The 15,651-nt window shown below is 42.1% G+C and overlaps 1 protein-coding gene across 12 annotated transcripts in view; it reads right to left on the bottom strand.

The window, feature by feature from the left end:
• The window catches only part of CHN2 (chimerin 2), a 367,738-nt gene that overhangs the window by 153,717 nt on the left and 198,370 nt on the right, over positions 1-15,651 (bottom strand). For all 12 annotated transcript variants that reach the window (XM_011515105.3, XM_011515106.3, NM_001398427.1 and 9 more), the window contains one exon: positions 5,949-5,987. Coding sequence is in view for 7 of the 12 variants with exons in the window: in XM_017011722.2 (XP_016867211.1) it covers positions 5,949-5,987 (39 nt within the window). In the remaining 5 variants the exon portion in view is untranslated. The remainder of the gene's footprint in view (positions 1-5,948; positions 5,988-15,651) is intronic.

Below are 15,651 nucleotides of genomic sequence, written 5' to 3'. Positions count from 1 at the left end.
TTAGGTGTCTTCCTTGGCTCAACCCCACCCTCCACCCTGCCATGGGAAGGCCTTGCCTTCCTAACAGAATGTCAATTTTTTTTGTTTTTTTGAGACGGGGTTTTGCACTTGTTGCCCAGGCTGCAGTGCAATGGCATGATCTCGGCTAACCACAACCTCTGCCTCCTGGCTTCAAGGATTCTCCTGCCTCAGCCTCCCGAGAAGCTGGGATTACAGGCATGCACCACCATGCCTGGCTAATTTTGTATTTTCAGTAGAGATGGGGTTTCTCCATATTGGTCAGGCTGGTCTCGAACTCCCAACCGCAGGTGATCTGCCTGCCTCGGCCTCCCAAAGTGCTGGGATTACAGGCGTGAGCCACTGCACCCGGCCAGAATGTCGAGTCTTAATGGGGATTTAATTATCTTGTCTAATGGCACTGTGAAAAACCTCTAGGAGGAGATGACAGTTGCCCACACACTGAGGGGTTTCAGGCGTAAGTATGTATAAGAGAAACCTGTGGGGTTTGATACATTGCAGATCCCCCCACTTTTCTGATCCAGAGATCTGGGGTAAGGCTGAGGAATAATTATCATAAATATCCTCCCCAAGGGATTCTGATGCAGGGATTCTGCAGATCAGGGTTTTGAGGCTCTAAACTTCAAATCTGTAAAACAGGCACAAGCTATGCCTGAGTGACCTGCTGCCCAGGGGAGCCTCCAGGGAGAGCTGTCAGCCACTGCATCTGCTGCCTAATTGGCACTTGGCCTCTTAAGAAAGAAAATCTTTCAGAGCATAACCATGGTGATTGGCTTTTGAACTTGCCTGCTCGAGGCATAAAGTTCATACAGTTCTGGCTTAAAGTTTAGAATGTAGCTTTATTATTATTTTTAAGTAAACTTGAAAGTAGCTCTTCTTTTAGAGCATTGAAACCAAAGCTTTCTCAGTGACGTCATCAATGTTTCTTGTATTCAGTCTTGAGAGTTAAGAATTAGCTGCAGATGTATGATACTTTGGGACAAGATTATTTTATGGAAACAGCTCAGTAAGCCATGAAGCTTTTTCCTTTTTTTTCCTTTTCTAAGAAAAGGAAAGGAACAGAGAGGGCAGGGACTTAAAGGCCATCCCGTGGCATCACCGTTCCTTGAGTCAACAGCCGACCTTATCCATCTTAGTGGCCCAACTCCAAGCACAGTGCCCGGCTTAAGGCAGAGACTTAATATGCATTTGTTGAATGAAGGAGTGACTAAATTAATGAACACTATAATTTATATAAAATATTGAGAGAGCTGATTTCTTACCCTTCTAAATTTCTTAGCCAGATATTTATGGTTGCCTTCCCAGCATCCATTTTCATCTTCCTCCTTCCAATATTACTCCAAATTTTCCAATCATGTTATACAGGGTTATATGGGGTTGATCCTTTCCTGAATTCCAGTAGTGAGTCCTGATTGGTTTAGGGCAGTCAGCACATCCCTGACCACAGTGATAGAGTCAGGAATGGGTAACCCAGGTCAATTAAGACTGAGACTCAATTCCGAGACTTTGTTAGATGTGTCAAGAAAGTAGACTGTCTCTTTGCCTGTTGCTTTTGGATAAGGAAGCACAGCCCTGATATTGTTGATAGTTACAGGGGGATCCCAAGGGAAGAACATAGTAAGAGTAGGGTGAAATCTAGGAAAGCGGAGCCAAGAAAAGAAGAAATATACACTGGATTTTGGTAATGTCATTTGAGTTGCTGGAACAGTCATGTCTGAAGCCAATGCCTCTGCACTTTTGGCTTAAGTCAATCAATGTGATTGAGAGTAGTATTCTGTTGCTTGCAGCCAAGAATAAAACGTAGAAACCGCTTCTTAAAATCAATCATTAGGCTGGGCGCGGTGGCTCACTCCTGTAATCCCAGCACTTTGGGAGGCCGAGGCGGGCAGATCACGAGGTCAGGAGATCGAGACCATCCTGGCTAACAGGGTGAAACCCTGTCTCTATTAAAAATACAAAAAAAATTAGCCGGGCGCAGTGGCGGGTGCCTGTAGTCCCAGCTACTCGGGAGGCTGAGGCAGGAGAATGGCGTGAACTCGGGAGGCGGGGCTTGCAGTGAGCTGAGATAGCACCACCGCAGTCCGGCCTGGGTGAAAGAGCGAGACTCCATCTCAAAAAAGAAAATAAATAAATAAATAAATAAATCATCATTAGAAATTGACTAATTTTCTTTTATTTTTAAATTAAAATTTTTTTTAGAGACAGGGTCTCGCTGTTGCACAGTCTGGAGTGCAATGGTGTGATCGTAGCTCCCTACAGCCTCAAACTCCTGGGCTCAAGTGATGCTCCCACCTTAGCCTTTTCGAGTAGCTAGGACTACAAGGCATGCCACCATGCCTGGTTAAGACAAATTTTCTTGTAGGAATAATGCCATAATTGGGGCTAGTGCTTCATAACAAGAATCTGACATTAAATAAGTCAAAGTTATGGCCAAAAAAACGTCAATGAAAACAAGGACATAGCTACTTACTTGTCTAATCATTGCAAATAATAAATTTTTAAACCAAGTCCTATGCTATGGCAAAAATATACTGTCTCTAGTAAATATATGAGAGAATTGATAGTACCGAAAATTGCTAGAGTTTAAAAAAGTGTGTGATGGAAGAATATGGAATCCATACATGATATAATGAGTTAGACATCAGTATCTAAAATTAACCTCTCAAAGGATAATTTGTGAACATTTCAAAGAGAAAGGCTTGGTAATTTCTGGGGTTCACAACGGGTTTACCAACAGTTTATTTAAAATAAAACAAATTCAATATTCTGATAGCTTTGTTGGACTTTCATATCAAGAAATGGTATCATTTTAGCATATTTGGATTTTTTAAAAAGCATCTCATGAAGGCCCTCAGATTCCTTCTCCTAGTCATCCTTCAAGACCCACATGCAAATTTGACCTCTTCTATAGTCTTCTTTCCCAGGAGATAGAGGAGTAGCATTTTGTTACCAGAATTCATTTGCATTTTAAGTTTATTGGTTTACATCTGTCTCCTTGACTAGATTGTACATTGGAGGGAAGTATAAGCCACATTTTATTCATTGTTGATTTCTAACACTTATTCTCTGACATTTAGAATGTATTTGCTGAAAGATTAAACAAATGGATGATATTCTTGGAAATAAGATGGAGTAGCATGAGCTCGATAATTCATACGTGGTCTAACACCCAAACTCAAATAACTCATGGATCCAGGATGACCAAAAGAGAGTTCTTCCTCACTGGTGGTCTGTAGGGCTTTGGTCAACATGTTTTTGATGCCGTGGATGGCATACTCCCCTCACTTTTGGAGAGCTACATCACTAGATGCTCTCAAATAGAGCCTGGAGGACTATTAGTTGGATATAATAAAGAGGAACTTTTGCAAGTAAAGTTTTATGATTATAGAGCAAATTTTTAAAACACACAACTTGGTTAGATCCAAAAATCAAACTTAAAACTAATACAGAAGGGTTAAAATTGATACTGTTAAATTTAAGTAGCAAGGATTTTCCAGCTTCCTCAAGACATAGAAGTACTTTTAAGAGATGTTACTGGGTGGCCCAAGGTCTCTTAGAAGAAGGCAAAATGAATTTGAGCCAATGCCATCTTTTCGCTTCAGCAAAGCTTTCGGTGGTGGCATTCTCTCAACAAATATTTATTGGGTCGTTAATGTACGCAAGGCCATGCGCGAGCCAGTGTGCAAAGCACAGTAAGTCATGGAACACCCAATGCCTCTCACTACAGATATTCTGTTGATTTACTGTCAGAGCTCTTCACACTCCATTAGGAAACAAACAAACAAAAACATCCAAGTACTAAGTCATTAGCACGGCCTTTCAAAGTAGAAGATCGGAATACAGAGCATTAGATTGGAAGGGCCCTTAGAGACCCAGCACAGCCCCTTTATTTCACAGATGGAAGAACAGACTTATGTAACGAAGAACAAGGTGCCTCTGTATGTGCTGACAAGGAGAGATAAAAACAAGATGTTTGTGAAGTGAAACAAGCAAGCTGAAGGACACAGCATCAAGCCATTTTTACACAACAACAACAAAAATGCCTAACATGAAGCATGCACTTTTAAACAATCAGAAGGATCTCCCTCCCCACATTCACAGAGCTCAGCTACTGGGAAAGGAGAGAGTGGACTGGAATATGGGGTGGGGAATTTGTGGATGTTGGGAAATTTTTACTCTCCGTTTTATGTATTTCCCTAATATCTGTCTTTTATGTAGCTTTGTATTGCTTTTGTAACAAATACGTACATTCATATTTATATATGTGTGTGTGTGGCTGTGTGTATATATTATATATCCATACATAATATGTGTATTTATGTGTGTGTGTATACATGCACATAGGTATATATAAGATTCTGAATAGAATGGACAAGTCTTGGACACGTGCAGGCTGTGGGTTCCACTCAGAATGCTACCCCACTAATTTTTGTGAAAACTTCACCAAGTTACTTAGCCTCCCTGAGCCGTGGTTTCCTTACATGTGAAATGAGATAATAACAGTCTACATAGGCCTGGTGTGGTGGCTGATGCCTGTAATCCCAGCAATTTCGGAGGCCGAGGTTAGTGGATTGCCTGAGCTCAGGAGTTCAAGACCGCTCTGGGCAACATGGCAAAACCCATCTCTAATAAAAATACAAAAAATTATCTGGGTGTGATGGCGCCTTTAACAGTCCCAGGTACTTGGGAGGCTGAGGGGGCAGGATCACTTGAGCCCGGGAGGTGGAGGTTGCAGTGAGCTGAGATTGAGCCACTGCACGCCAGCCTGGGTGACAGAGCGAGACCCTGTCTCAAAAAAAAAAAAAAAAAAAAAAAAAAAAATAGTCCCATCTGTGAGAGTTGTGGTAAGAATTCGGGACTTGGCTGCTTGGTGCGGTGGCCAGCACAGGGCAGGTTCTTGATGGGGAGTGGTAACCCTGGCAGCTTCGTTAGGAATGCTAATGATGACAGCAGAAGCAGAGCCTGAGCCAGGGCCTGCGCACCCTGGCTCTGGACACAGTGGGCTCCTCCTACCACAGTCCTGCCCTCTCTCACTGGGGAGTTCCTGAGTCAAGCATATAGTACTAAGAAAAGAGGAGACAAGGCTTAGGCAATGATAGCCGCCTGCCTTCACGAGGGGAGCTAGGTGGGTAACTGATGATCAGGCAGGATCTGTTTCTAAGAGTCACCCTTGGTGACCAAACAGGTTCTTCGCTATCTGTTCATTTTTCAGCATTGATGTCATATGATATTTTATCCTTAGAATGATTGGCCAAAAACATAATTCATAGAAGTCAACACATTTGTCCTTGCCGATCAACTGTGTAAAAAAATAAATAAAAGTGGCTGGGCGCGGTGGCTCATGCCTGTAATCCCAGCACTTTGGGAGGCCGAGGCAGGCGGATCATCTGAGGTCGGGAGTTCGAGACCATCCTGACCAACATGGAGAAACCTCGTCTCTACTAAAAATACAAAAAAATTAGCCGGGCATGGTGGCGCATGCCTGTAATCTCAGCTACTTGGGAGGCTGAGGCAGGAGAATCGCTTGAACCCAGGAGATGGAGGTTGCGGTGAGCCAAGATTGCGCCATTTCACTCCAGCCTGGGCAACAAGAGTGAAACTTGGTCTCAATAAATAAAAAATAAATAAATAAATAAATAAATAAATAAATAAAAATAAAGCCCCAAACTGAAAGGCAGAGAGTCAGAAAGTCCACCCCTCTTTTCTAAGCATTTTTGAAATGGGCCACAGCTGGTTCTTGGAGGCCTTGGTAAGAGGAGGGGGCTCTGTTAATCGTCTCTGACTAATCTTTTTCCTCAGTGGAAAGAAAGATTTGGGTTTTCAGTGCTGTGAGGTGGGAACGCTTGTGTGCACTACATCGCTGGCAAGAATTGTTCAGAAAGGCTGGCCTGCTAACGACTTCTGGGGAGATTTTCATTTCAGGTACTCACAGTATGATTTCCATATAGGAGGCTGGTATTCTTCAGCATCTAGAATGAAAAAAAAAAAAGAAATCCATCATCAGCCTGAACGTCAAGCTGTCAACATGTGTCTTCTCTGGAGGAACAACAGTCTGTCCACAGTACTTGCATGCGGGTCTCAGGGGGACTCTCTTCTCATTTAGGGAGCAGTTCCAGACACAGGGGAGGGGATGTGCATGGAAACCTTGTGGACTCAGCACCACTTTCTTCAGCTCATGTACTATGGCAGATCAATTGCTTAACAATTTTCATAGAGCCCAGTAAATCAAAAAAGATTTTTAAAGCAATTAACTTGATTATACCCTCTAGTAATCCTTTCAAATGGTATTTACTTAACTTGGCATAGTAAACATATAATTCATCTCACAGTTTCCAATCAGACCTTTAGCCCATTTATGAAGACTTGAGGGCAAGACGCAAAGCGGCAAGTATGTAGTATTAAATCTGCAGAGCTGTGCAACTCAACCAACTGAACTCCTAAAATACTCGATCTGACAGCAGAGACACTGATGATTCCATTGGAATTGCATTATCTCTTTGAATTAACTCCAACGTGTGACTTAGAAAATTTCCAGAAACCTCTGAGCAATCAGAAATGTCAGACTGACAGAGTTACAACAAAGTGGAGAGGCTGAAATTGTTATTCATCCATCTAGGAAACAGACAATGAAAGAAAACCTGCTTGTTCAGTCGACTCAACCATCCCAATGCTGACAGCTGAATTTATAAATTCTGATGCAGTTATTAGAGTCGTCCTGCACTCACAGCTATAAGGCCTTGGGAAAACACGGTCTAACTCATAGAGCAGAAAAAAATCCTTTTTTTCCAAACTACAGAACGTTGATGTGAGGGAACCTTGAGAGTTCTCTAGTTCAGCACCTTTAGATATGGAAACTCTGTTCTCATCATCCTCTACCGCTGGTGCACCACAAAGCCTGCCCTTAGACTACCCTCGTCCTTGTGTTCCTGTCCTGTTAAACTTTTCTTTCTTTCTTTTTTTTTGAGACAGAGTCTCGTTCTGTTACCCAGGCTGCTCACTGCAACCTTCGCATCCTGGGTTCAAGTGATTCTCCTGCCTCAGTCTCCTGAGTAGCTGGATTACAGGTGTGCGCCACCACACCCAGCCAATTTTTTATAGTTTTGGTTGAGACGGCATTTCGCCATGTTGGCCAGGCACATCTTGAACTCCTGACCTCAAGTGACCCACCCACCTTGGCCTCCCAAAGTGCTAGGATTACAGGCGTGAGCCACTGCGCCTGGCTGTTAGACTTTTCTGAACTCATTCACGAAGAAAGGTGGTTTGAGGATGTTTTTCCACCTGAGAAACAAATATGCTCTTTATAAATAAAAACTAACTCAAGGGTGGTTTTCTTCCCCAAATCATACTCACTTGTGCAGCTTAAATGGAATTCTTTCACAATTATTACCTTGCTCTCTGGGGCCCACTGTATCACAGTGCTCAACTAAATGCCTCCCATGCTCATTTCACACAAACAAATCTGTACTGTTAGGCTTGAATTGTCAAGAACCTACAGAGGGATAGTCAGCCACCTAGGCACACACACAGTCAGTGCGTTAGTGATGGTTTACCATGTTATTCAAACTGGGTTTTGCTAAATCAATGTATTCATGAACTCTGAATATTTTTGTCAAAGTAAGAGAACAGTGTCTTATAATAGCAAGGCTTTAACCCAAACAACCAATTAATTTCATCCCTTAGGTGACACAAATCAATTTCAATGGGTTAACATGAGTATTAGTTTATAAAGAGCATTCAAATAAAATAAGCAAGTTGATGAGTTTACAAAACAAATTCTAGTCCCATCCATACAATGCCACCTCATCAGAAATGCCAGGCATTTCTGACGTTTTTGTTTTTTGCTTTTTTTGTTTTTTGTTTGTTTGTTTTTTGAGACAGAGTCCCACTCTATCACCCAGGCTGAAGTGCAGTGGCATGATCTTGGCTCACTGCAACCTCTGCCTCCTAGGTTCAGGCAATTCTCCTGCCTCAGCCTCCCAAGTAGCTAGGATTACAGGCGTGTGCCACCACACCCAGCTAATTTTTGTATTTTTTAATAGAGATGGAGTTTCACCGCGTTGGCCAGGCTGGTCTTGAATTCCTGACCTCAAGTGATCCACCCGCCTCAGCCTCTCAAAGTGCTGGGATTACAGGCATGAGCCACCGTGCCCCGGCCCTCTATGTTAAAATGTTGAAGGCATCTTCAAAAATATTTTTTTCAAAGATAAATAGAGACACACACACATACACACACACACACACACGACAGACTGCACACAAATGCAAATCCCTGAGATGCCACCTACTCAAAGCTGTAATGTCTTCTTATTTTGGATGAGGTTTACTCTATGACGCAAGCACAACCTCCAGACCAAGAAGTGGTCAAGCAAGTTCAGTATCTAGAGCACCGCCTTCTATATACTCGGGGAAGGTCTCAAGACAGAAGATGAAGTTCCCCTTTCTGCAGATCTTTAGTATAGTCCAGATGCTCCACTTGGATCTAAGGTCTTCTTACCTAAAGTCAGAAGTTCAGCTAAGGTGACCTCTCACTGTCCATTTCAGTCTTGTTGTTCTGTGGAAACCCTAGAGTTTTGTTTCATCTGAAACACTGGCCCCTAAATTAACACTCCTTTAGGCTGTGGGCTACGTAAACAACCCAGTCTGTTCCAGATGCTCCTTGTTGGCAACATAACCTAGAGGAAGAAGTCTGCCTGCAGAGACTGGAGATCACAACACTTCCTGGTGTAAAATCCTCCAAGGTCTTCCCTGCACATGGAATAAATTCCAAGCATCCTACTGTGGCCCATGGGTCCTGCATCACTGGGAGCCTGCCCGCCTCTCTGACTCCACCGTAGACAATTTTTCCCTTTTTTCACTTATCATCCAACTACACTGGCTTTCTCTCTGTTCCTAAAACAAGCCAAGCTCTTTCGAGTCCTTGACCTTTGCTCTGATGGACTCTGCAGGTAAAATGCCCTCCAATAGATCGCTGCATGGCTCACTGGCTCCATCGCATAGGGCTCAGCTTGATGTCATCACTCAGGGGCTCTACCTGCCAGGTTCCTGTAAAGTGGCCTTCCCCCTATGCCAGTCACTCTCCTCACAGAGAGCTGATTTTTCTTCACGGCACTATTACCCTCTGAAATTATTTATTGATTTGTTGGTTTGTTATGACTGCTCTCATCCTCTATTAGCCAAACTCCATAAAAGCAAGAATTTTGCTTCATTCACTTCTGCGTCACCAGCCTTTAGACAGGTGCCTGACGTGTAACAGGCATTCAAAACAAAACAAAACAAAACAAATGTATTAAATGAATGAATGAACTCTCAGGGTTCAAATCCTATCTCTGACAACTAACGGCTAAATAATTCAAAGGAGGTTATGTAGCTTCTTTTTTAAAGAACCTCCCAATGTTCATCTTTGTAAAACAGAAAAAATAAAAGTACCTATCTCATAATCTATCTCTTAGGGGCACTGTGGGAATTTTTTTTTTTTTTTTTTTTTTTGAGATGGAGTCTTGCTCCGTTGCCCACGCTAGAGTGCAGTGGTGCAATCTCAGCTCATCGCAACCTCCGCCTCCCAGGTTCAAGTGATTCTCCTGCCTCAGTCTCTCGAGCAGCTGGGATTGCAAGTGCCCATCACTGCAACCGGCTAACTTTTGTATTTTTAGTAGAGATGGGGTTTCATCATCTTGAGCAGGCTTGTCTCAAACTCCTGACCTCGTGATTCACCCACCTCGGCCTCCCAAAGTGCTGGGATTACAGGCGTGAGCCACCTCGCCCGGCCGCATTGTGGGAATTAAATGAGACAATGCATATGAAATTCTTGGGACAACGTCCGGTCAATAGCAAGTTCTCAGCAGAGCCCCACTAATGTCATTAATGAGTTGTTGTTATTGTTACATCACCTCGCCCTGATCCTTCCCAGGTGAGCCCGTGCTGTTGTCTTCTCTCTCTTCACTGCAGCTAATGTCTGTCTCTATTCTTGCCCCCAGATCTGGAGCCTGTCATTAAGTTCCAGGGCTGTTGTCATGGAAGGTTTTTCTTTCCCATAAAAGAATTCAAAGTGAGGGGCCATTTGTCATGCTTCAGTGGAACAACTATAATTACCTTGGCCTTAGAAATATGTTTCACAAACCACTAAAGCACACTGTCAGGAGGCCTTGGTCAAGCGTCAGAGCACAAAACATTTTTAATATGTTGAAACTAATCTTTAGTGCCTCCAACTCTGCCCCACCAACACACACACATATTTGCCCTAATTTCAAACAATACTTTTCAAAGATCAACTTGCGTCTTGGATAGGCTGACACTTAAAAAAAAAATAGGTTTTCAAGGTCATTTAGTTCACTTTGTCATTTGGCAAATGAGGAAAATGAAATGCAGAATGATTAAGTGGTTTCCTCAAGGTCATAAAACAAGTTAGAGGCAGAGGTGAGAGCTTTGTCTTCTAGACCTCTGACACATCATTCATCCTTGCCAGGCAGTCCCCCCAAATTTACATATATTGAAATCAAGAAAACAAAACTATTATATATGTTACTTGAATTCTTGTGAGGCTTAAAAGAAAAAATAAAATAAAGAAAGAAAATTAGTGGTGTGAAAAATTGTCATTAAGCCAAATGGTGGAACATATTCCATCTGTGCACACACACGCATTGCATAAAGTCCAGGAGATACAAGGTACTGGAAATAGTGACAAGATGAAGCATAATGTGTTCTGGAAATGTATTAGTTTGTTAAACATTTTGAAGAAATAACGAAAGGGGAGGAAGTAGAACAAGAAGCCCCATATTAATAAAAAAAATTATCCTTGAACGCAGAAGACAGTTATATATTTTTAGAAAGGAACAATGAATTATAAAGATCAAAGAGGCTTAGAAAGCATATTGCTTAAAAACTTTGACTAATATGTATCTAACCTTTAAAAAATGCGTCAACCTTTTGACTCAGCAATTCTATTCATGGGAATCTAGCCTAAGGTAGTAATTGAACACATGTACAAAGATATAGATGAACAAGATGTTCATCGCTCTGCTGTGTGTAAGAGTAAACCTAAAAGCACAGAAAGAAGGGAGTGGTGAAATAATTATCATAGATTTAGTCATGAAAATGAGAGTTTGCGGTTGAGAGCATAGCCTCCGGAACTAGATTGCTTAGGTTTAAAACCCAGCTCTGTCACTTACTAGCTGTGTGACCTTAAGCAAGTTATCTTCTCTGTATCTCAGTTTTTAAAATCTATACAATGAGAGTAATAATATCACCCAACATACAGCATTGTCATGAGCACTGGATGGGTTAATATTTATAATGCTTAATCTGTAAACAAAAAATCACAAATATGTTTCACTTCATGAAAGCCATGTGTAGGAGAAAGCTAAAAAAGAAGAGACTAACAGAACGACAACAACAAAAGAGAGATTACTCCAGATAAAGAGTGCCATAAGAAAATTTCCTACTGAAGGGTGGGCGTAAGATAAATTAGGAGAAAAAATAACATACAATGTGTAGTCTCATGCCTGGCATACAGTAAATGCTAAACTTGCTGTTATTATCTACATTTAATGATAAGAAACTACTTATGCTACATTGTTAAGTATTAACAAATCAGGTTATAAAATAATTTATTAAATATAATCTCATTTTTAAGAAAAGGTAAATATTCATATATGTAGAAATTATCAAGGAGGCAATAAACCCAATTATTAAGGCTTGCTATACCTGATAGTAAAAATACTTGTGATTTCTATTTTCTTCTTCTGCTTACTTGTATTTTACAATTTTCTGTATATATTGCTTATATAAAAATTAAAAATAATGAGAAATAAATTTGTAGGAGTGCTAGTTTTTTTTAAAAGTACACTGACTAAATAAATCACCACCTCAAAAATAAAGTAGATATAAAAAGACCCAACAAAAATAACTGTTGTAATAACACACACAGCATGTACAGTATTCGTGCAGGAAGAGCTAGGAGTGAGACAAAAGACAGTTATTTCTGCTGCAAAAGGTCATGTCCGATTCCTTTGGCCCTCTTTTAAAAATTCTGTGAAACAAATATCAACGAGTAATTCTAAGCAGGCTGGGAAACAGGTGTCTCCTCTCATGAAAGGATGGGGAAGGAGGGGGAAGATACAGATGCTTAGAAAATGATCAAAACCTTTAAAAAATGGGTAATAAGACCGTTGAAATAATCCATAAAGAATCTGAACATGTTAAGAAAAGAAAAGAAGAGGAAAGAAAAGCGGGTTAAAGGGGCCTGGAAGTGCAGGTTAAGACTTGAAAGCCACCTTAAGAAAACCTTACGTGCTAAAGTTTTAACTAAACCCCAAAAAGATGATGCTGCTGTTCTGGTCTTTGAGGGAAAACAAAGAATTCTGGGATTAGCCTACAGAAAGCTCCTCCATGTCTGAGAAAGACTAGGGAACAATCGGGGCAATAGGGAATAGGTGGCATAAAAGCTCATCTTCCTGGTTCAAGAGCACAGCAAAAATAAAGTAATACCTCCGTTGTTTTTACTGAACTTTAAAGTAATACACCATTGCTGAAAAACAGAAAAAGTCCAATAATTTAAACATGTACACTGTAGAAAGTTCCCAACCTGAGGGGGAAAAAAAAGCACCATTAAGAGATTTGTGTGAATCCTTCCAGATTTTGTTCTGTGAATAGCTAGAATAAAAATTTACAAAAATGGTTTCATACCATACATACTGTTCTGCAATTTGCTGTTTGAATTTCATGATATTGTTTTAGCATCTATCCATGTCAGCGCACATAGATCTATGTTATTTTCTTTTTATAACTGTTGCTTGGACTTCCATTACATGAGTATAGCAAAATATACTTAGTTCATTTATGTAATAATTTCTAATTGATGGACATTGAGACTATTTTCCACTTTGGGCTATGATATGGCTTCGGTCTGCGTCAATTCAAGTTTCATCTTGAAAACTGTAATCCTTACGTGTTGAGGGAGGGACCCCGGTAGGAGGTGATTGGATCATGGGGGTGGTTTCCCCCATGCTGTTCTGATGATAGTGGGTGAGTTTTCACGAGATTTGATGGCTTAAAAGTGGCACTTCTTTCTTTGCTCTCTCTCTCCCTTGCCACCTTGTGAAGAAGGTGCCTGCTTCCCCTCCGCCTTCCACCATGATTGTAAGTTTCCTGAGGCCTCCCCAGCCATGCAGATCTGTGAGTCAATTACACCTCTTTCCTTTATAAATTACCCAGTCTCAGGCATTCTTTATAGCAGTGTGGAAATGGACTGATACAGTCCACTATAAACAATGCCACACTGATACAGGTGCAGTATAGATTCAGGGAAGTTGAACTGCTGGGTGAAGGGTCTCTGTATTTTTTATTTTAAAAGGTCATTTTATTTTAAAATGGCCTTCAAAATAAGTTAGGTCAATTGAAATTCTCAGCAACGGGTACAAGAATGCCCATTTCCCCACACCCTCTCTCACCAACACTGGGCTGTTATCAATATGCTCTTAATTTTTGATGCCTTAAGACTCAGTTAGAAAACTCACAGATGAGACTAAGTATGCATTTGCAGGGAAGCAAATGGAGACACAGAACGCTCCTGGAAGTGAACCTGTGGAAACATATGGCCATGGAGTGCAGGGAACATACGCGAATCCACACGTTTGGATGGCTGCAGCTGGAAGGCTGTATTCTTCCAGGCATTTTTAGCTCCAGAAATATGTTGATTTGATGGAATCACCTGAGGAGCAAGTGTAAAGGAATTTGGAGACTGATTAATGAAGAAAAATTAAAGAACACATGTGCTCCACTTGGCAAAGTGACAACTGAAGAGGAAATACCTGCAAACATCTGGGAGAGCCAGATTCCTTCACTCGGCTCAGTGGAGGATGACTCGACTCACAGAAAAACACAGGTAGAGGCTTTGGAAAATGAAAGGAGCCAAAGTTTCACCGATGTAGAGAATGAGCTATCAAGGAAGTTGAAGATGACCTATTTTTAAAGAACATTTCAAATAAAGCTGTGTATATGGCATCATTTAAGAAACAGAGGGGAAGGACTGGGTTTCTCCCTCTGCCATCCCCTCTCCCAGAAAAGCCAGATCTGTGCTGTCACTTTTGATTTACTGATGCATACATTTGTAAATGGGCTGCAGTAGGCTTCTTCCAGGGAAGTTGGGTGAAAACAGGTTTTTCAGTCAAGCATGGAACAGCCTCACGATGAGATGACAGTTCAGAATTTGTTGGGTGATTAGCTTAATGGGCCCAGAATGGGTTGGGATCCAAATGAAAGCAAACAACAACAGCAGGAGTGGGATGTTGTGTCTGTGCACATGCTACAATATGTCTTTGATACATACATTATGCCCACGCTTGGGTCCTCAGCAGCACGTCCTCATGGACAGAGTGTACAGCCTGTAGCTATGATCTTGTCAGGCCAGCACGGCCAAATGGTGCCAGGCCTGAGCTGCGAGACTACCTGGAGGTCATCCTGACTGCTGCAAAACACCCAGATCTGAAGGCTGTTAGAGACCTTGCTTGCTAATGCTGGTTCCCTGCACTCCCCTGAGAAATTAGACATCCATGTATTCTCTTTGGAAACTCTGCTTGGGTAAGGGATGAAGGCCTGCTGTCAGTCTGACTATGAAACTCATAGCACGGATTTTTCTAACTGCTTGAGTCCCACTTGCAGAGAATAGTTAGTAAGACAAATTCCAGGAATTACTGCTGGACCCTGAGGCTGGGCCCCAAAGACAAGGGAAGTAAGTGACTTTCTGAAGATGATGAAGCCATGGAGGGCCTTGGGCTGGAGCCTGTGGTCACTAGAGGGCACCGGGGCCACATGGAGCTTCTGTCTTGAGCTACTTATTCTGTACACAGAGGCATGATGAGATTCTCCCATTCAACAGGTACTTATTGGATAAATGCAACGAGCCAGTCCTCGGGCACAATACGGTGAACAGGTAGAGAGGCCTTACGAAACTCTGCACGATCTGGCCCCCGGTCAGCATCCCCTGGTCATCGCATTTGTCTCTCCTCTTGCCCTTTAGCCCTCATCCACTCTGGCTTTTCTTTTGCTCCTCGAACACACCAAGACCATACCAGTCTTAGGGATGTCATGCAGTCTCTTCCCTCTCGCGTGCACACTGCTGGCTTCCTTATCATGGGATCTCAGCGTAAATGCTCTGGCTCCTCAGAGACATCTTCCTGGACCCACCAACCTACAGCATTTCCCCAGATACTCTCTTCAATTCTCTGTAGAGCCTTTTCACCATCCGAAACGTTTTGCTGTGTGGTTATATATTTCTTTGTTTACGTTTTGTCTTCCCATGCTAGACAGATAGCACTGTGAGAGTAGGAACCTATTTATCTTGTCCTCCAATGTGTGGGTCAGCCTTAGCCTGTTGGGTACTTTTTGTGAATTAGAAAAAGCTGTCTTTTTCAGGCAGGTGTACAGCTTGGCAATTAGACAGCACCTGTGTGTAGAGAAGATGTTTCCTCTGAGGGACAGAGCCCCAAGCCAGAGCATGTGGCCTGGAGAGGGGAGCCCAGGCTGTGTTCAGCCCCCACTTGCCCTCTCAGCTAGGCACAAATGGCACAACTGAAGTGGCCATGACTGCTGTATCCCAGGACACAGCAGGTGCTCAAAGTGTTGGACAAGTAAAAGACA

Source organism: Homo sapiens, chromosome 7 (assembly GCF_000001405.40).
Source record: "Homo sapiens chromosome 7, GRCh38.p14 Primary Assembly".
NCBI lineage: Eukaryota > Metazoa > Chordata > Mammalia > Primates > Hominidae > Homo > Homo sapiens.
This window is presented reverse-complemented; position numbering and strand designations above follow the sequence as displayed.